The sequence below is a fragment of the Homo sapiens genome, chromosome 20 (genome assembly GCF_000001405.40).
Source record: "Homo sapiens chromosome 20, GRCh38.p14 Primary Assembly".
NCBI classification, from domain to species: domain Eukaryota; kingdom Metazoa; phylum Chordata; class Mammalia; order Primates; family Hominidae; genus Homo; species Homo sapiens.
The window spans coordinates 16,423,221-16,445,828 of NC_000020.11; the positions used below are offsets into that span (position 1 = coordinate 16,423,221).

General features: G+C 39.7%; 1 protein-coding gene across 17 annotated transcripts in view, besides 1 other annotated feature; it reads right to left on the minus strand.

Annotated features, from left to right (window-relative positions):
* KIF16B (kinesin family member 16B) overlaps positions 1-22,608 on the minus strand; it is a 301,345-nt gene that overhangs the window by 151,117 nt on the left and 127,620 nt on the right. For all 17 annotated transcript variants that reach the window (XM_047440266.1, XM_047440264.1, NM_001199865.2 and 14 more), the window contains exons 13-15: positions 6,643-6,762; positions 5,733-5,784; positions 3,884-4,021 (exon numbers count right to left, since the gene is read on the minus strand). In XM_047440266.1, the coding sequence (XP_047296222.1) occupies positions 3,884-4,021; positions 5,733-5,784; positions 6,643-6,762 (310 nt within the window). The remainder of the gene's footprint in view (positions 1-3,883; positions 4,022-5,732; positions 5,785-6,642; positions 6,763-22,608) is intronic.
* Positions 13,433-14,632: an enhancer, noted in NCBI's record as "P300/CBP strongly-dependent group 1 enhancer chr20:16417298-16418497 (GRCh37/hg19 assembly coordinates)". NCBI's record gives its function as "activates an origin of replication core promoter dependent on BRD2, BRD4, P300/CBP, MED14 and CDK7 cofactors, with strong dependence on P300/CBP, by STARR-seq in HCT116 cells {active_cell/tissue: HCT116}" and the evidence as "EXISTENCE:reporter gene assay evidence [ECO:0000049][PMID:35650434]".

Below are 22,608 nucleotides of genomic sequence, written 5' to 3' on the forward strand. Positions count from 1 at the left end.
TTTCAAAAAAATCCTGAAAAATAAAATAATTAATCACAAGGAAAATAAAAACAAATGTTGACTAGTTCTGTGGCAGAGTTTAAAATTACCAAAGAAAACACAAAGAACAACAGATTAAAGCACATGAAAAGTTCATTTTAAAAGTAACAAAATTACATTTAAATAGAAAATACTACAAGAGTGACACAATAACTAAATCAAATATGAGAAAGCACTTACAAGGAGTTATGTTATATGGTGTGTACACTCAATCAGGGGAAAACACATGTTTTACTTCCCACGATTCTGGGAGGCAATAGTGACCTTGTTCTACTCATGTATTAATAATGATTTTGAAAACCAGTACAAGCCTCTTGTAAAAATCCTGTAACAATAAACAAAGTGATTATAACAAGGTTACTTCCTTCTGACCTAACTGAAGGAGATGCAGCCAGTACATGGATCTCTACTGTGTACGTTCCTCTCTCCCTGGGAAAAGAGGACAGTCCGTCATCATAACTCTGTACCAGCCTGTACCAGCCTCTGCTGCCTGGAGGAATAGCAGCAGGACCTCTATCTGAGGTTCCCACAGAGAACAGACAGTTGATGTGACTACAGTCTAGACTCCATACAGGATTCACTGAAGGGGTTGTCAGTGAATCGTGTTTTAACTGTGTATCTTCCCATTACTCCTGCTGTCAGCACTAGAGCCTGTGAGTTCCCAAGCAGGGACTGCCACTGAAGAGCCCTACATGGTGACCTCTCATCTGCCAACCAATTATGGTCACTTCCTGGGCTAAAGGCAGAGACAGCCTCCCACCATGACTAATACTGCTGCCTGGAAATAACCTGCCCCTCCATTCTACATTGCTAGAGCCCTTGTCCCACTGCAAAAAAGCAGGAAATGCTGCATTTGTAATAATCACTGAGGGATCACTGAGTGCTCACTGCTTTGGGTTGGTCATCTACAATTGCTGACCTTTGATCTTCCTGGCCAGCTCCAGGGTACTCAGATATTTCCCCTGCTCAACTTACCTTTATAAAATTGAAAAAACAGATGGAGAGATGAATGGGTGGGTGGATGGATGTGGATGGGTACCCAGGTTGGCGCTCCATCGCAGCTGATGTTAGAGCGTCTTTGACGGACATTATGCACCTCCTCCAAAAGCATAATGTCCCTGGTCCATGCTATGTTTCCTTCATTTCTGAGGTACCTTCCTGCAATTGACTTCTGCTTACAAACTTGGCTAACCCTGAATAAACTACATGCTTTCCAGCCCCCATCTCTCCAATTCCTATGTCACAACAGACTCAATTATACAGTGTGCAACCATTAAAAACTGTAATTATAAAGACTACGTATAACATACAAAAAGGGGCTTAAACATGCCAATGTCTTTCTTTCCCTCATTCTTACATAGTTCAGCCCAAAAACTATTACGCAGGCAAAAGCAAAGTAGGCATCAGCATGAGAGTGGAGGCAAATGGCATGGGCTGAGAAAAGTTTCTGCACTGTGGAAGGGTGAGGGCCATGACAGCCAAGCATAGCCATGCTTGTGGTCTGAGCAAGAAGAGGAGGGTCCCAGTGTGAGGAGGGGGCAGGAATAACAGTATATGGGTTACATAATGGAAGCCAGGTTCATCACTGTCAGAAAAAGGAGCTAGGAATAAGTGAGAAAACTACAATTAACCCTATGGTATTGGGTTGGGATTAGAAGTATTAGTGTATTGGTATAAACTCCTTGTTAGCAATATAGGTACTGAAATACAGATATTTCACAATACCAATATAAACAGATATAGAAGTACAGTTGTAAAGGTTGTACACAAACACACACACGTTTTCCTAGCTCTGTTCACAGAAAGCATATGGAAGCAGTGACACTCCAGTAGCAATGAACACACCTGGTTGCTAAATACCATTCTGTACTAAAAGGAACCATGGCTCCTTGGAGAATTGGTTAGTTTGAGGAAAGCACAAGATGAGTCTGGAATATCTTGTGTCAGAAAGTAACGAAGTGTTTACAGAACAGTGAGGACAGGACACGAAAGCCAGCTTGAAGAAACTCACAGTGGCCAAAATATAGGACAATTTGATATTGAAATAAATAATGATAAAAAACAGACCAAAACCTAGTAAATAAAATCGCAAGCTGTGTGACCCTTTAAATAGATAAATGACAAGAAGAGAAAGTTCTTACAATGAAAATCCAATTAATAAGTGTAGAAATAATGATGCATTCTTTTTTAATCACCATTTGGCAACCATCATAATAATAATTAATTCAGCCAAAAAGAAAAAAGAATGGATTCCTAAAACCAGTGGGTGAAAGTGGTAATATTCCATAATGGAATGGAAAATTTACAATATCAAAGTACCTTCAATCTCATAGTACTTTCCCACATACTTACTAATAACAAAGAAGAAAAGAGTAACTCCCCAGTGGGGAGGCCTGGCAGCTGCACCTTAGTTGGATGATCAAAGTGAACATCATCAGTCACGGGACAAATGGAAATCGTGTAATGAGATATGAGAAAAACAGCATCATTTCTCTGATATTCTTGCCAAAAATGCATATTAGTCTAATCATAAGGGAACATAGTCAACTCTCACACTTCTATAAAGAATACCTGAGACTATGTAATTTATGGAGAAAAGAGGTTTAATTGACTCCCACTTCCACAGGCTTACCAGGCAGCATGACTGAGAGGCCTCAGGAAACTTACAGTCACGGCAGAAGGCAAAGAGGAAGCAAGGCATGTCTTCTCATGGAGACAGGAGAGGGGGCAGGAGGGAAATGCCACACACTTTTAAATCATCAGCTCTCACAAGAACTCACTCACTATCACGAGAACAGCAAGGGGGAAATCCACCCACATGATCCAATCACCTCCCACCAGGTCCCTCCTCCAATATTGGGAATTACAATTCAACATGAGATTTGGGTGGGGACACAGAGCCAAAACATATCAACAGATGAATCCTACATTTATGTAGAGGGACATTCTACAACATATCTGACCTACTATTTTCAAAACTGCCAAAGTCAGAAAAGTCTCTCTTTGGGTGGGGACACAGAGCCAAACCATATCAACAGGTGAATCCTACACTTATGTAGAGGGACATTCTACAACATATCTGACCTACTGTTTTCAAAACTGCCAAAGTCATAAAAGTCTAGGAAAGGCCAAGGAAAAGTTCCAGTCTGAAAAAGAAGAGAGAGAGGTAACAACCAAATGCCATACAGGAAATAGAACTAAATATGGGACCCACAAAGAACACTGCTGGGACAAATGGCAAGACTTGAACGAGGTCTGAGGATCCGATGGTAGAAATGTATCAGTGTTAGTGTCCTAATGTAGATGTCAGTGTTTAAAGGAAATACACAATGAAGTATTCAAGGACGGCAGGGCACTATTTACTTTCCAATAATTTTGAAATTTAAAAGTTCTTGGTACTATTCTTGCAACTTGTCTATGATATTGAAGTTATTTCAAAACAAAAAATAGACATGATACCAAATCCTCTATGTATGTTACAATTATATCTATTAAGATGAATATAAATAATAGAAATAAAATTATTAAAAGAAACCATTGTGTTAAGGTTTTGCATTTGAGGGGTACTTTTTAAATTAAAAAATTCCTTTAACATCTCATCTCCATAACAACAACTTTTAAGATAATTCTATATATGTTCATATTTAATTAAACAAGACAATGGGTATTATAAAATAAGCCCTCCAGCCAAACAGAAGAGAAACAGCCTATTGAAGCAAACAGTCTCACCCTTTTTATACCTAATCAATAATTAATTCTAAGATGCACATGTTCCCCCATTGCCTAGCCAACTTGTTTTCTCAAACAATATATACAAAGACCTGTGAAAATTAAAACCAGATACCTTGATTTAGATGTGTGGCCTCCACGATCTGAACACCATTCACAGAGCACTGGGACCCACTCAGGGGTATCAGAGTCACTGTCCCCCCGATATTTTCAAAGATGCAATGCTCACTCTCCAAGTCAAGGCCATGAAGAACTAAAGTGGAAAAACAAAGTAGAAAGAATTTTTCCCCCTTTTCTACTGCAATGATTCCCAGCTATTTATCTATAAATTTATTTATTTTCCTTTTGAATACTCTTCCTTTTCCACATAAGTATCATGAAGTGAACATTTATGTTTAGTGAGAAAACCGAACTTCAGGAGCTCATGACGTTCAATGATAGGACTGGAAGATCCTTAGAATGTTCTTCAAGGGATCTGGACATTACCTGTGTAAGAAAATCAGTTCTGGGATGTTAACTCATTTCATCTTTGGGGAGAAAACAGTCGAGTAACTTGTTTTAACTGAATACCATGGAGTTGCCCTGTTTGATACTGAATAAATTTCCTCCATCAGCCACCCAGAGGCCACAGAGAATAAAAGCAAAAGTGCTCCATGGGTCGAGGACTTACTGAGACCTCTGCACTGACAGACACTGCACTCCAGGAGCAGAAACCCAAGGTGAACTTGGCATGACATGAATCTTGAAAAGCCCAAGAGGCCTTCAGAAGCCATACTGAGATGCCTGTTGCCTGAGCCTGTGTCAATTCTGAGACCTCTCAGGGCATGCAGCTGCTAAAGTTTATCTATTCATGTATAACTCTCCTAGATTCTTGTTTGAAGAATGGTCAAACACAGATATGAACACCTGTCAAATAAGCCTACATGATTTTAGGCACAGTTCTTGGCTAGCGTCTTGGGAGTACAAGCCAACTAGTTTCCACTGTCTCTACAAAATTGCACTACTGATCTCTGATCACAGAAAACGTGTGTTCTTACCATCATTTATAGCTACCCCAAAGATCAAACACATAATTTAACAATTAGAAGAAGAGGCCTGATGCCTACTTCTACCCAAACATAGGTGAATCTGGGGACTTCTAGAAAATGGTTTTTATCTCTCTCAGTCTCACAATAAATAGTAAATATTAGGTTGGTGCAAAAGTAACTGTGGTTTTTGCCATTACTGTTGCACCAACCTAATACATGTAGGAACATACTAGGATTGGCTCCATTAATAGCTTACACTTGGCAAGCAGGTTCATTGCCAGCAATTCTAAAAGCAGCTGAGACAATATAATTCTTCCCCTGCCAATCCCTATCTTGCCACACACATATACACACCCACCACCACCACCACCAGTTGCCTAAGTTATGCTCTTAAAGCCTGTAAGGACCTCATCTGTGTAGGCTAAGTCACTGATTATTTGCGTGTCTTGTGAAGACTTTCAGGAAACCTAAAAAGCCATGCTTCCACATGTGTGTATGCTGTGTTTTCTCCTACTTTCTGTTGTCATCTTTGTGAAGACAGTGCCTACAACCCTCTCCTTCAAAAGACCTACATCTTTTATCTGTGTCTGTTGGTATATTTCCATCAATCATTGTTCCATTGTGAGACAATGTAGAGTGATTTAAGTAACTGTGTTCCTCAAAGACCTGACAAGGAATGGAATGTAGGGTGGGAGAAAGGGTTTATTGGCCCACTTTATTCACCAAATTAGTTGTTCTGCATTATTCATTTGAGTTGTATTCTAAATTACAAAAATATATATACACACATATATATACGTACATACTGACCAACACTGTACTTGAAAAATAATTTAATTTTCTATAATTACTTCAATGTCAGTCATTCGAAAAAGTTCTTCCTTGAATACAACCTTAAAAAATCATTGGGAACAGATCACTGATAAATATGCTCACCAATATCTTGCTCCGTGGAAGCATCGTCTCTACCAACGTATGTCTGACCTTCCTGGGAAGAAAACCCAAGCAAAATGTATTAGTAAGAAGAGAAGGAATAGCTTGTTTCTTCATTTTTCATTGAAGCCCAAACAACATAGTGGCCAATGGGATGAACAACATCCTGGCAGGCCACAGCTTCAATGCATCGAGAGCTCCCCAAGGCTCTGTAAAAAAGCCCCAGTTGTCTGGAAAGGTTTAATGTACAGCAATGGTGAGGCCCTGCTTTGACAGCGTTAAATACTTTGCTCATGACAGGAATATCACTGATGTTCCTGATCCTTTCTGGGGAGGTTCTCCAGTGGCCAAGAGATTCTTTGTGTCTAAAGATATAGTTTATGTAAGTCTGCAAAACACAAATGCAGTAGCATTCTCATTGTTAAGTTATGGGTCAGAGAGAGGGCACTAAAGTCAAGGTTACAGGGGCATCCATTAATACTGATGTGGAATTCTGTACTCCCAAGATGAACTGTCTGCTTGGAACCAAGCCCAATAATGCAGGTGAGAAGCACAATTTTATAATTGCCACCAGGGACCAGGAAACTGTACATACAACAAAATCCCCCCAGCTGTTTACAACTTTTCTCCTTCAGTCTGTGTGCCTTTTTGTTCCTTACCTCCCTCTTACTAATCCTACAGAATAGAGGGCAAATCAATGGCTCATCATTTAACTTTAGATAACAAGGGAACTTTAAATACCAAAGAATCCCAATGAGCTTCTGAAAATTCCCAAAGGGCTCAAGGATTTGTTGTATATTCTTTAATTTAATTTAGTTGTGTTCATGACCATAGAATATTATAATAAACCTAGTTAGTGTCTAATGGAGAAACTGGAAACAAAATTAGAATGTTCCACTTAATCAGTTTCTACCTTTAAATGATATAAGATGATTCCAGTACTCAAAAGGTCATCATCGATGCCAATCAAATGAGGCAGTTCAGAATCCAAAACAACTCCAATCCCTTCTTTCCTGAGGGCTAGAGTTTGTTCCTGAAATTAAGAGGAAAAGAAAAAGAAAAGGTTACTTTGGGAAAAGAGAACTTCAAATTAGGTGTTCTTCAGATTGTCAGAATGGGCAATATTTTATTTCTCATCTAAAAAACTGCAAGAAAAATGGACCTTAAACTTCGTGTTGAAATCCTGGCAGGTAATAAGCAAAGTGAACTTGGAACTTATAAAAAGCGAAATATAAAACGAATTAAACTCATTGCCTGATACATAACCTCTTCAAAGCAAATCTTCCTTCAGAAAGGTTCTAGGAACATCCAAACTACAAAGTAAACTTTCTCACTCTTCAGAGCCTTTATGCCATTTAATATCAAGATGTTGCCTTAGTTGATGGCTTTTCTCTCTACTTACCATGGTTGAACTGTGCATGGTCCTGAGAAGAAGCCTTCCTGTGCATTACTTACCTTGCACCAGAGGAACCTGGTCCTCTGCCTCCTGTGCCATCAACTTCTCCTATCCACTGGATCATTCCCTGCTATACATTAATATGAATCTGCTATTCACCTCCCATCCCCAAACCCCACCACGTCTTTTGGCCTTGCCTCTCCTTATAGCTACCACCAATTTCTCTGTGCCTTTTAGAGAAAACTACCTCCAAAAAGTTCCCTATACTTTCAGTTCTTCAATTCCTTCCCTCTTACTCTCTCTTGAACTCCCTCTATGAAGGTTATTGTCTTTGGGACTCTTCTTTACCGACACTGACTCTCCTGATGGTCTCCTTCTGTCTCTTGACTTGACCTGCCATCTAGATGCTGATGACTCTCAAATTGCATCTCCAGGGCAGATGTCTCCCTTAAGTCCCATACTCAAATGTATACCGCATATATGAGTATACTGTGTGTGTGTATGTATATATATATATATATGTACACCAACCCAACTCAGTTTAGCTATGGAGATGTCAAACAGGCAGCACAAATTTAACACATTAAAAAAAACAAAAAACAAAAAACAAAACAAACAAAAAAAACCTTGATTCTCTCTGCCTCCCAAACCTGCAGACTATCCCATCTCAGTAAATACCAACCTTTCCTGTTTGGTCTAAATACCATGCTTACACTTTGCCCCTTTCTTTCTCTAAACTCTACATATGTAGTATTAACTCTACCTTCAAAATATGCCCAGAATCTGGTAACATCAAGCCACCCGCAGCACGTGCCTCTGGCCCAAACCATCATTGTCTTTCACCTGGGTTACTGTGATAATCTGGGCCACCACTCATGTCTCCCGTGATATACACTCAATTCAGCAGCCAGAAGGCCATCAGGGCAGGTCACTCTTCTGCTCAGGTCCTTTAAATAGCCTCCCATTTCAGTGAGACAAAAGCCAAAGTCTTTGTGATGTTCTACCAAATTCTACCTGATCTCATCCCATGCTCACTCACTCTCATCTTCTGCCGCTCTCCCCTTTGCTCACTCCTCTCCAGGGATAGAGGCAACTTGCTGCTCTTCAAACTTGCCAGCCTGCCCCATCTCAGGGATGCACTCACTGCGGTTCCTACTGCTTTTGTGGTTGCTGTTTCCTCTGTCACTGCTATCCTTCTCTTCCCCTACAGTAGGGTTTCTGGACTGCGGCACAGTTGTCACTTCAGACCAGGTAATTCTTTATTCTTATGCACAGTAGGATATTTTGTAGCACCCCTTGCCTCTACCCAATAGATGCTAGCAACACATCTGAGGTTCTGACAACCAAAAATGTCTCCAGACATTTGAGAAACATTGCCCTAGACACATATATAACATGGCCCCTTCCTTCCTTCAGGTCTCTGCTCAAAAGCCACTCTCCCCATCACCCCATACAAAATAGCAACCACCAATGTTCCTCATGGTGATTTCTCTCCTTGGGAATGGCTATTAGTGTGTATATATATATATACATATATATATATACTATCCATTTATATGTATACGTATACACACACACACACACACACACACACGCACAAGTTTATTACCTGTCCTCTGGCTAGAATGTAACCCAGCACCTAATTTCATGTCCCACTCATCAATTAATATTTGCCAGAGGAATGAATGAGTGAGTAGACACACAGAGTTCAGTGGAATGCAGAGGGAAGGTCAGAGACAACCCTCCGGAAGAGAATGGTAGGCCTTATCTTGACATCAGGCCCATCTGACCCCAGACAAAAGACCTCTAAAGTCAAGCTTCTGGGGAAGTCTGAAGTAGAAAGCAGACAAATTCCAGAAGGTTGAAGGTAAAAATTGCAGTCTTGAGGTTGGGCTGAACCAGGTTCAGACTAAATCATGTACAAGAGCATGACATTGTGCTCCATGACTGTACGAGCAACAGAAAACCCAGTTCCAACCACTAACTGGGGATCCTGGTCAGAGATGCTCCTGGAGAATCTCCTTCCCTCCCTGACTCCTATAGTCAAGACGCAGTGACCAAGACACACCTCTGTAACTCCAACACCCAACACAGCCCTAAACATAAATACGATTCCTTACAATCCTGGAACCAATAAATGTACTCTGTGTCATTTAAGTATTAAAACAACCTACGAAGTCTACCATTCGCTAGGTGATGGATTCAGAACTTCTCAAGCTAGTGTAAGACCATTAAAGCAAAACTCAAACCCTGTAGACAAGGGAACTCCTGGGAGGTTTCTGGGGCAGGGAGGTGGAGAGAGAGAAGTCCCTCAGGCCTCTGCAGATATTTACATTTCAAATGCACACTGAAGACCTGAAGTCATGCGAGAGGGCGGTGAAATGAAGTAACAACAACAACAAAAAAAGGATGGCTTAAAAAAATAAAAATAAAAATCACAATGTGAAAGAAAGCAATTTAATTTAACAACCATTAAATAGATACGCAGAGAAAATGACCAATGCATAACTTAGTTTCAAGAAAAGGAAATGAAGCGTGTCATTGTTCTTCAATTACCACTCTTATCAGCCAACCTCCCATTCCATGGCTCAGAACCTCAGGCTTTGAGGTCGGAGACTTCAGTAACATTGATTTACTATAGCAAGGAATATGCAAATCTCAGCTAAACTGAGCACTCTCCATAAGCTAACCCCTACTCCTACCTCTCGGATATTAGCAGAATTCATGTTTTTTCCTCCTGACCATGAAATTAAAGCAGAAATGGGATGTGATTTTTTTAAAGACATATATTACAGGGGAGAATTTAATCACACAGCTCTATTTCATAAAATGATGTCCTCATGGGAAGGTTTGGTAGCTCTGAACTGTGACCAAACTGCACACACAGTCAGTAGCCCCATGGCAATGAATTATTACAGGCCTCTAGGTCCACATGAAAAGGAAAGTGACCATTCTCGTAAGTCCACAGGCATGTGTATTTTCTTTCTGTACAGAAGTAGACAATAACCCCCCACCCCCAAAAATGCAATATTTTAAACTTTAATAGCTCCCACTCAAACTACAGAAAGTGCTTTGGACTACATCCCAGTTTCGTTTACTATTCTTTCTTTTTTTAACCATTGAGAAACACTTTTGTTTTTCCTTGAAATAAGATTTTGAAAGGCATTGGAAATTCATAGTTTCAAAGCCATTAGGTCAAAAGTCTTACTTGTTCCCACCCATCCCCAGCATGTAGACACACACACACACACACAGAGACACACACACTCACACACACACACACTCACATACACTTCCATATATATAATGGGTAAAATCTGAATTAAGAGAAAGTTTTCCAGGATTGCAAGTGGGGAAGGATGAATTTATGATTAATGCTGCCCTAAAGCTCTATGACATTCAAGCTGCATTCAACTACATGATATTATAAAAGTGTCACCTCATAAAACTGGAAACGAGGGTTTAAATCATTGCTCAAGCGAAAAAGTAATTTCAGACAAAAATATCTATCACGTATAAAATATTTATTGAGTGGCATCTACTGTTATACATAATTTATGAAATACCTCTTGGATAAGATGGAATACTTAACATAGTAGAGTGGGCCACCCTCCCCCAACTCCAGACACAGGGTCCCAAAGAAATCAATGTAAAATATGTATACTTGCATATATTTTACATTGAAACAAAGATTTTGGCAACCATGCTTATTTGGATTAAAAAAAAACCCCACAAACTGACTAAAATTGTCAAAACGTAGCATCAGTTTATTTTAAGCATCCTGTTCACAACATTTACAAATGATATGCTCCATATGTTTTTCTTCAACCTCCAGGCATCTATTCAGGTGAAATCCATCTGAATTTAAAACACATGCCCTTTGCTGGGACTCTCACAGACTCACTTCTGCCCCTTCCGGTGGCTCTGGTGATTGCAGGCAGGGCTGCCCAGATCTCGTGGGAAGAAGACCACAGGAGGACTCGGCTCAATGCGCAAGGCCCGTGTAACCACCGTAATGGTTTATGAGAGTAAGCAGGGAGTCTAGCTCTTTTAATCACAACCACATCCTTAGTGCCCAGCACTCTGCCTTACAAAAGTCAACAACTTTCTTGAATAGATAACCGAAAATGATACAAAAACTTACCAACAACAAAAATCTATTTTTTCCCCCTCTTAGAAAGTCTACCTGGGATCTAGATTGTACTTGGAAAAAACTGGGAAAAGTTTGACAGTGTGTCTGCCCCACGTAAATTAAGATCTCTTTAGGAATAAGAATTGCGTGTCTTCACAGAGTATGTTAGGTGAATATAGCTGCACCAGGCACACAGTAGTCACTCAGTAAGTGCTGATTATTTGGTTCTATAGGGAGTGATTTCTAAGTGGCACTTTTTTTTTCTGAACAGACAAGAATGAAATGTCAGGATCTTTTTGTGAAAATTTATGTTACAGAGAATTATATATTTCACTAGCGAGTAGAATTTTGTAGAGTTGACTCACATCATAAAGTGCACATAATTTCTGCAACCCTGACTACAAACACAGCAGATGTCTGGGGGCTGGGGGTTGGGGACAATCAGGGCTTAGAGCACATGCCCAGTGTGGCTGTGAGGATGGGGGAGGAAGTCAGATAGCCAGAAAGACGTTGAAAAAAAATAAAATTATCCTCTAGTAAAACTACTTTTTAACTTAAAAAAGTTGTATGTGATTTTATTTAAATTTAACAGAATGAAACTATTTCAACCATGTTTCTTTATTATTAATATAAGAGGTATTTCCTAAAATATCCTTGTAAGTCAAGAGGTTATGAAACATAATCACAGTGCATATACATTTTTCATAAGTGTTTCAGTTTTAAGCACCATTACCTGAATCTGTACCGGTTTGAGAACGTTGCTTCTTGCCTTGGCATCTGAATGACATCATAGCTGTGTCGATTTTGGGCCACATGGTGCATGTTGGGCAGTATGGTACTTACTTTCCTCAGAAGGTTAAAGACATGGCTCCACTCTTTTCAAAGCTGAATGCTACTCTAAGAAAATTAAGCTAGTCTGACTTTTAGTCCACAGCAGATAATTTGGTTTTATGTCTGGATGTTTAAAGAGTTTCTTCTTTATCTTGAAATTCAATGGCTTAATTAGGATAGATCTCAGTGTTGAACATCCTCTACTCTATATTTTCCTGGAACACAATACATTCTTCTGATCTGCAGACTCAGTTCTTTCATCTACTTATTTTTCATTTCACAAAGCTTGTCTTGTTTTATTTTCCATTTTCTATTTCATTTGTTGACCGTCTACTTCAAGAACACCAATTGTCCTTATATTACACTGGTCTTTGTCTTCTATTTCTTTCAGTTTCTGATTGCTTTACTATCTTGATCATTCCATTTGTGTTCAATGGGCCTAACAAGCCTTTATTCTCTTAGTAATTTGATTTTCAGTGGGGTCTATTCTTTTCCTTGATATTTTCTAAAATTATGTATTAGTCCTGCAATGATGTTGTTTTGGGCCTCAAAGGCTTTCTTTATTCTACAATCTTTCTTTTTTCATCTCACTTTGCTTTTTATTACCATCTTGCTTTGTTTATTGAATTCATGTTTCTCATTCATTTGTTCTACCGAATGAAACAATTGTAAGGAATTCCCTTCTCTCCCATGAAGTGTGATTTCATCTATATTGGGATCTTTTATCTTTTGCGTGCTATATTCCTCTTCTTTCTTGTTCTCTACCAGCCCATCTGCCCATCTATGCAGCCACCCATAGCTATAGTTATGTTTATATAATTGTTCTACATTTTTTTCATCTCGTATATGCTTAGGCGTATCTGTGCAAATATTCCATGTGCCCTAACATAGGATGGGAAACTCCTTGATGCTTGCCTGGCCATATCTGTGACGTTTCTAGTTGACTGAGTAGTCTGCAGTCCACCCACTTTTCTCTAGCCAGATGGAATGACAGAGGGCTAGGAGGTCTCACCTGAGGCACCACAGGCTTTGTTTGAGGCCCAGCCCTCTCTTCCTGGGCTCCCTAATGATTGGGAAGGGGTCCTCTTCCCAGGGGGAGGGAAGGGGCAGGATGCCCTCGAGCTTCTTAATGTTTCCCCAGGCCTTCACTTACAAGAGAGAGTCAGCTCAGCTCTCACTTCATTCCAGTTACCACCACTGGCCATCACTACTACTCTTCAGTAACAATAGGAAAATCAATTCTGTTCCTCCAATTTGAAGGTACAGTGGGGGGTATTCTGGAATCATCACTGATTCAGCTTCTCAGGTGCAGGTTTAGGAATATCCCCTTCACAATCTTTCCTTTTCCCCAGCAGCCACTCATGATCTTTTCTCACATGCTTCTCTTAGTGACTTACAGCAGTATTGCTGCTGCAGGCTTGTATGTTTGCTATGCTTTCTATTATTTCTTCATTTATTTGAAATCTGTGATGGAATCACCAACTGGTTTTTTAACATTGAAGACAAGAATAGCATTAAAAGGCTACAAAAAGGAAGGATGAAAACAGCGGTACTCCAGGTTTTAGGGGATTTCTTGAGCAAAGATACAAAGGCTAAAAACATGGGCAAACAGTCATCCCTTGATATCCATGGAGGACTGGTTCCCGGACTCCTGAGGATACCAAATCCAAGAATGCTCAAGTCTCTCACGTAAAATGGCGTAGTACTTGCATATAACCTATGCATATGCTTCTGCATACTTTAAATCATCTTTAGATTACTTATCATACCAAATACAATGTAAGTGTGATGTAAATAGTTATTATACTGTATTGTTCAGGGAATAATGACAAGAAAAAAGTCTGCACATGTTCAGTACAGGCAGAACCATCATAGGTCTAACATATCATACATATCAGCAATAGTACAGCATTTTCTCAATTTTTTTCTAATATTTTCAATCTATGGTTGGTAAAATCCATGGATGCAGAACCTGCACATATGGAGGACCAACTGCATACACAAGGAACCACTGGACATCCAGTTTAGCTGGTAAACCTGGAAAAATGGTCTGGCAAGCGAAGCAGATGGGTCACTATTTGATTCAGAGACTGGGAAGGCATTGACAATTTTGAAAACAGAAATTGGTTGCTACTTCATCAGATGAATCTGGCAGGATGTATAGGGTGAATAAGAACAGAGTAAAAAGGGGGATGGGATTAGAATGGAAGTGACACCCCTTGAGAGTCACGGGACAGGTATGTGGATTCTATGTGACTAACAGTTTCGGTTGATGGACATTAAGTAAAGACATTCTCCTCAAGTGTTTTACTCCTCTTAATGAGAAATACGGAAATTGGAGAACTGCAAGAAAATCTGATAGATGCCAAAAGATTTTTATTGCTAGGCAAAAAATATACTTATGTTTCCTTGTAATACTTTCCAGGGAACTCAGTAAGGAGGTATTATTCATGTGTGAAGAATCACTCATGAATTTGACGAGCAAGTGGTGTCTAGTAACTTACATGTTTTTAATAATGTACAAATGCTAAAAGTCGTTATCAGCTGGGCGTGGTGGCTCATGCCTGTAATCCCAGTACTTTGGGAGGCTGAGATGGGCGGATCACTTGAGGTCAGGAGTTCAAGGCTAGCCTGGAAAACAGGGTGAAACCCCATCTCTACTAAAAATAAAAAAAAATAATAAAAAAAAAAAAACAGGTGTGGTGGCGTGCACCTGTAGTCCTAGCTACTTGAGAGGCTGAGGCAGGAGAATCGCTTGAACCTGGGAGGAGGACGTTGCAGTGAGCCAAGATTGTGCCACTGCATTCCAGCCTGGGTGACAAAGCAAGACTCCGTCTCAAAAAAAAAGAAAAAGTCATTATCAACAAAAACCAATTAGCTCTGAAACCCTGAAAGTAAGCAACAAGCTGGCGTTCATCCAGAAGCTACTGTTTCTCATACAGTAGGCCCCCCTGTATCTGAAGTTTTGCTTTCCCCGGTTTCAGTTACCCAATGTCAACTGTGGTCCAAAAATAGGTGACTACAGTGCAGTAAGCTATTTTGAGAGAGACTATTAATACAACTTTTATTACAGTATAATGTTATCATTGCTCTATTATTAGTTATTGTTCATCTCTTACTGTGTCTAATTTATAAATTAAAATTTAGCATAGGTATATACATATAGGGAAAAACAGTGTATATAGGGTTCATATTGTTTGCAATTTCAGGCAACCACTGGAGGGCTTAGAGTATCTCCTCTGCAGACAAGCGGGGGCCTATTGTATTCTATTTTCCACATAGGAAGAATCATGTCCATCTAACAAAGGAGAAACAGTCACCAAGATTACTAGGAAGTCAGTGAAGCTCTGTCAACTGCCTCAACCACCATCCTGCCTTTCTCCTCCTTTGGTCCATAAAACCCAAGCAAGCTATGATGAAAAGATGTTAAGAATCTCCTTCATTCTCCTCCAGGAAATGACTTTTTTATTTTTGCTCTGTTCCCAGAGAGTGACGACGTGAATAAAAACAATACTGGTAGGCCAGTAACATGTTCTACATCCCTGCAAAGTTGATTAGTAATATGTAATCCTTCAGGTAAGGGCTCTATTAATTATGTTCTATGAATCACAATCAGATTTAAAAACAAACAAAAATAAAACAAAACAAAAACAAAAAAGAGAAGGGAAGGAGCGGTCTGTGAACGTTAACAAATGGAAATCCACTGGGGATCAGCCTCTGTCAGAACTAAGCTCCAGGAAGGAGGAGGTTCAGGTGGGAAGGCAGAGTTCACAATCCACAGCTTGGGAAAAAGAATCAAGTGGGTCAGCCTAGAAATCACCTTTGAATCCTCTCTGTGCTTCAGACTTCACAGAGCTCTACCCGCATGATATGGTCAGAATCATCCACAACTTTCCATCTCCACTGCTACTGCCCTGGTCCCAGTAACCTTCACAGCCTGCCTGAATCTCTGATATCCCCCAATCGGTCTTTTTGCTTCTCTTGCCACCCTACCATCTACTCTCCATATGGCAGCCAGAGCCACCTTTTCAAAATATCAAGAGACCATGCATAAAACACTACAATGGTTTCCCACACGTTTGGAATAAAATGGTCACCATATCTCACTTAATCTTGCCCCTGCCCACCTCTCCAACCTCATCTCCCCTTCACTTTCTACCTGACAATCACAGCGGCCTCCTCATTCCCACTGCAGGGCTTCTCCGTGTGCTGTTTAGTCTGCCTGGAAAATTCTCCCCTAAATCTCCATAGCTTGCCCTTTCTTGTCAGTCTGTTCTATTCGGGACCAAAGACACCAATGAGTGAGATTGTATTAGTCCATTTTTGCACTGCTGACAAAGACATGCCCAAGACTGGGAAGAAAGAGGTTTGAATGGACTTATGGTTCCACGTGGCTGGGGAGCCGTCACAATCATGGAGGAAGGCAAGGAGGAGCAAGTCACATCTTACATGGATGGCAGCAGACAAAGGGAGAGCTTGTGCAGGGAAACTCCACCTCACAATACCATCAGATCTCTTGAGACTTATTCGCTATCATGAGAACAGCACAGGAAAGACCTGCCCCCGTGATTCAATTACCTCCCACCAAGTCCCTCCCACAACATGTGGGAATTCAAGATGAGATTTGGGTGGAGACACAGTCAAACCACATCAGAGATGAACAAGGTCCCTGCTCAGACAAAGCTTATTTCCTATGCAAGTAACTCCACCCCTACTCCCAGACACACTCTATCACTCCACCTGGCTTACTGTCTTTACAGCACTTAAAGTGATCAAAATTTCTCATACATTAGTTTATTTGCTGTCTGTCCCTGCAGAAAGCAAAGAATAGGTCCAAGCCAAGATGTCAATCCCAGAGAAGGAGAGGTCAGGATGGGGTCAGTGAGAGCCAAACTATTAAAAACAATACCCAAGGCCAAGACCGTCTCTTATCAGTCCCGTTTTTAATGCTCCTTGCCAGTCAAAAGCAGCCCTTAAAACTCAAAACAATAGTTAATATGGCCAGAATAAGCCAGAAGTGAATACAGGAATTTTAATATTTAGTTCTAATAAACTATCATCATAAATAATTTAATAACTGTCCCCAAAATCTGTATCTAGCATCACATCAGACAGGCACCTATGATGTCACTGAAAATGAACTAAAAATATAAAAGCCTTGCTTTTTCCATGACTTTAAAACAATCCATATTACAATACCTATGGTTAAAACACACAAGCGCGCGCACACACACACACACACACACACACACACACACACACACACACACACACACAGGTACACATTTAGAACCAATGAGGAAGAGCCACAGGACTCACCAGGGCAGAATTAGGAGAAGAAGGGTCTGGCTACCACCACACCATGGCACCAACAAACCTAAATGTCCTGACATTACTGGCAGTCAGCCCCTAAACAGTAAATACAATTAATACTGCCCTTTTAATGAACAGAAACTCTTGGGGCAGTTCAATTTCCACTACACTTCCCATTGCAGAAACATCGATCTTTATTTAAATGCCAAACAGCTAAGTGTTGGCACACAGTTCAGAGAAGATGCTGTGTGGATCTTTTGGATGAAACAGTCCTCTCCGCTGGCTGAGCAAATCATCGAGATGTCAGGATTTAAATTATGCAAAATGCATAATACCAATTAAAGAAATTACGTGTGAAAATATGCAAGAGCAAATTTCCTCACATTAATATTTAACTAGACTTTTTAAGTAGAGCAGCATCTTCTGATCACAAGTACTTTAGTATATTTCACCTACATGGAAGACCAAAATATTCAGGATGGTTCATCAGAAGATTCTAAAAGGGCATTTTCTGTATAATACAAACATTAACACGAGGTAAAACAGCTAACGGAAAGGATTACTTTAAGTGGGATGTTGTGGCCCAGAAAGCATCAGTCTGACATTGGCCTTACACTTTGGTCTTGTAAAGCTGGCCCGTTCTTGTTTCTCACCCACGGAAATACGTCATGCTCATCTTCACCCTCCGGCCTGTGCTCTAGTAATAATGTCCTACTAGGACAACCCTCTGATTCCCAGTTACAAATGTTTCCCCTTCCCCAGGAGTCAGTTAGAGCCTACTCAGGACTACTGTGGCCCCTTCCTCTGCACTGACCAGTTATCAGGCCTAATCGCATGGATCTCCGTCAAACACAGATCAGTGACTTTACATTCATGCACTGCTTGTTTCTCCCGCTAGACCAAGAAGCTTTCAAAAAATTGGTATTTTTTGAAATGTCAAAATATCAAAAAAATATCAGGCTTGTGCCCACACCAGATCCTCTGAATGAGCATCTCAGGAGCAGGATCCAGGCATTTTTTTAAGCTCTCAGGAATTTTACATCCAGGGTTGGGCTATGATTTTCTGTATCCTCCAAATGACACCTCTATCCTGCTGGGTGCACTTTGAGAATGCTCAAAAGGGCAAGTACTGTGACCTAACTCCTTCATTTGCCAGCTACCTTCTTCTGTGATTCATTCAACCAACACCTAACGACCATCTGCTACTTGTCAGGTGCTAGTCTACATTAGGGATATATCAGTGAGTAAAGCAGGCACCCTCTTATATTTTATCTATATCTGTCTCTGTCTTTAGATCTAAGTCTATATCTGTATTATATGGAAAGATCTATCTATATTACATTAAAAAATCTACAGATATACAGTCCTGCATCACTTAACAACGGGGATGCATTCTGAGAAATACATCACTGGGTAATTTCATCACTGTGCCAACATCTAAAGTGAACTCAGACAAATTGACATGTGGTTACCAGAAGCTGGAGTGGTTGTAGGAGAGGGTTGGGGAAATGTTGGTGAAAGAATGCATATTTACAGTGATACAGAAGGAACAAGTTCAAGGGATCTACTGTACAGCATGGTGACTATACTTAATGATGATATATTGTATTCTTGAAAAATGCTGAGAGAGTGGATGCTAGGTGTTCTCACCACAAAATGATAACCATGTGAGATAATGCATTTGTTAATTGGCTAGATTTAACCATTTCACAATGTGTGTGTGTGTGTATATATATATATATATATAAAATAGGTGCCTATCTAATGCGATGCTCAGTGTATATATATACATACATATTATATATATATACATGATGAATATATACAATTTTCCACATCAATTTTAAAAATAAATAAATTTGATAAATCACACCTTGAAAAAAAATTCTATGACGGAACTTGTAATGGTGTCTTGGCATGATTCTGTGATGATAAATATATCTGGATTCCTAGCTTTTTTAATTACACAGAAAATAAAATATTAAAGCCAAAATCCTCTGGTTTATCTCTTTTGCAAGCTACTCTGCACCATTCTTTCACATAAAATTGGAGTAGGGTGGGAGGAGAACCACCAGCAGCGGCAAAATGAGGTCTTCTCTAACAGGTGAGATGTTAGAGGTTAATCCCTAAGCTTGGTGCACAGCCTTTGTTTATTTCTTAGCCAGTTGAGGAGCCAGTATCATTATCAGAAGGGAATTTAGGAAAAAGCAAGAAGGTGATGAAGAATGAGAGGGAGGAAGAAAAGAAGGAAAAGGAACAAACTTCCAGCTTCTCACAATTCCCTTCTGAAAGACGTACACTGCCCATGGCAAGGCACGCTGGTGAGTAGGTAAAGACCATCCCCTAATGAGTAGGCTCCTTGCTTCTCCTAGGATATGGGTTAAGTAACCCCAATCTGAAAATCCAAAATCCAAAATGCTACAACATCCCAAATGTTTTGAGTGCCAATGTGATGATCAATGGAAATGTTCACTAGAGCATGTTGGATTTCAGATTTCCAGATTAGAGATGCTCAACCAGAAATAAAACCTGCTTTTTATGGAGAAGAGAGAATATAACCCCCTTCCACCTTGTATTAATCAAATATTCACTCCAATCACTAAACCCAAATTTGTCTAATAAATCAAACTGTTCAAACTACTGCTTATGCCATGAGTAATGACAATATGTCAAAGAAAACACTGGTACAGAAGGGAGTTTCTTCCCTGGCTGTGCAGTAAACTTGGTGAAAAGGAGGGAAACCACAACCCAGACACAGGACAGGTGACTGAATAAATTGTCCTCTATGAACCCAAAGAGTTAATATTTTGTAAAACCATCTGCCACTCAAGTCCTGTCTCATCCCGTCCCTTTGAGAGTTCACACCATTTATATCGTAACAGAACACTTTACATGAACGCCAGCTCCAAAGGGGTCCCCAAACCTCTAATCAATTTGGCCTGGATATAAATGTGTATCTTGGTTGTATAAATACTACTATGGGCAACAATACTTTACACAAGTATTCCTGTAATTGATACACTGCACTTTGACATTATTAACATATCTTTAGCTAGATAAATTACCCAGTAAATCAAAAGGGCTCATTCACTCAGATTATGCAGGAGAGGACTGCTCCAAAGCCCAAATATAATTTTGAATGTTGACTGCATATGGCCCCAATAGTTTATTAAAATAAGGAATATAATCCATTTTATAAAGAGAAATTACATTAGAAAGACTTTTATAAGTAAAGCATATGTGGCTAAGGTTATAGAACTTGTCAAGGAAATGTGAAGTTCAAGATACAAAATAAATTGTGTTTGCTGATCTGGTCCATTAATAGAAAAGCAGTAAACCAAATACAATGTAACGTACACATGCAACACTTTCCAATCACACACATCAATTAGGTTTGCTAATATGTGCAGTGCAAGCCAGCTATCTAAACATCTAACTTCTCACAACTACAGTCAGGAGTCAAAAGGAAACAAACTCTTTCCTAAGCCATTACAAACTTCAACTATAAAATCTCACATCTTTCATTAGTTAAAAAACTATTTACATGTTGTAAACTGGATACAATCACTTTGGAAAACTATTTGGCAGTGTCTTCTACAGTGAAATAATATCCACATCACATGACCCAGCAGTTCCACCCCTAGGCCCTATGGTAGAAGTCAGCCAACTATGGCTGAAGGCCAAATAAGGCTGTCTGCCTGTTTTTGTATGGCTGGAATGCTAAGAGTGATTTTTATATTTTCAGATGGTCCAAAAAAAAAAATCAAAAGAAGAATATTACTTCATGATGTGTAAAGTGTATAAAATTCCAATTTCAATGCCCATAAAGCTTTATTGGAATACATGTTCCATGTTCATTCATTTACAAATTGCCTGCTGCTTTTTGCTATCATGGTGTAGTACCGTGGAGTACTTGCGACACAGGTGGCGCGGGCCAAGAAGAAGGAACTGATTACTACCTAGCCTTTCGGAGCAGCAGTTTGCTGACCTCTGCATTATGCATACATGTTCACTGAAAGACATGCTAAAAAATGTTCATAGTTTTACACAGTTACATAAAATTCCATTTTTTTGTATCTACTTTAATGTATGTAACCTGTCCACTGTTCGTGGGCATTTAAATTGCTCTCAGAACCTTTGCATTCATTAGTTATTGCCAACAATGCTGAGATGAAAAACGCTGCACATACCTTGAACCTTTCAGTGCTAGCTGAGAGAAAGCACAGACATTCATGATTGATTCTCATTTACATGTCAGAAACAACAAAAAAACCTTCCTTGAAGCTTCTATTCTAAATAAACTAAGTTCTTTACTGAACTCAACTGAGGGCAAAAGCCTCCTCTGTTTCCAGCGTCTCAGCATAGTGTTAGTTATCACACATGCATTTACTATAGATTGTGAACGGAAAAAGGGAAATACGAATATATTAGCAGGCCAGGCATGGTGGCATGCACCTATAGTCCTAGCTACTCAGCAGGCTGTGGCAGGAAGATCATCAGCCTAAGAGTTCCAGGCTGCAGTGAGCTATGATTGCACCACTGCACACCAGCCTGGGTGACAGCGAGACTCTGTCTCTAAAGGAAAGAAGGAAAAGAAAAAAAAAGAATACATGAGCACATATATTTATTTGTTTTTATTGCCATTTTTCCCCAAAGAAATCTATAATAAATGCACACATGATAACTAACATTCTGTACTCCTGGACCCTGGGAGCAGGAAATCTTTGGCCTCAGAAATATATATACATCTATATTTATTCATTCTTATTTATTCATTTGTATTCAGACATGTATATACGTGTGTGTGTGTGTGTGTGTGTGTGTTTTAATCTAAAGTCATTCTAAGCAGGGACTTTATGAAACTAATTTTATTTTTAAGTGAGCAATTTGAGTAACAAAAAAAAAAAAATCACAAATGGCCTAGAATTCTAAGTGCTCTCAAATGGCATAATCAGGAGCAGCCTTGATGACCTTTTTCTGAAAATGTGGACTTAAATGTCCGAATCAGGTTTTTGTCCAGGTCAGCACTTTTAGCAGGGAAAGGCATGTCAGGGCCATTTTTACAGAACCAACGAGGTGCTTACACGGTGACACTAAGTCCAGAGCAGTGTGACTCAGGACAGTGTGCAAAGTGCTTGCTGCCATTCCAGAGTAAGTGCCAAAATTAAAGGCAACCATTGAGAAACTTCAGTGCAATTTGACAGAGT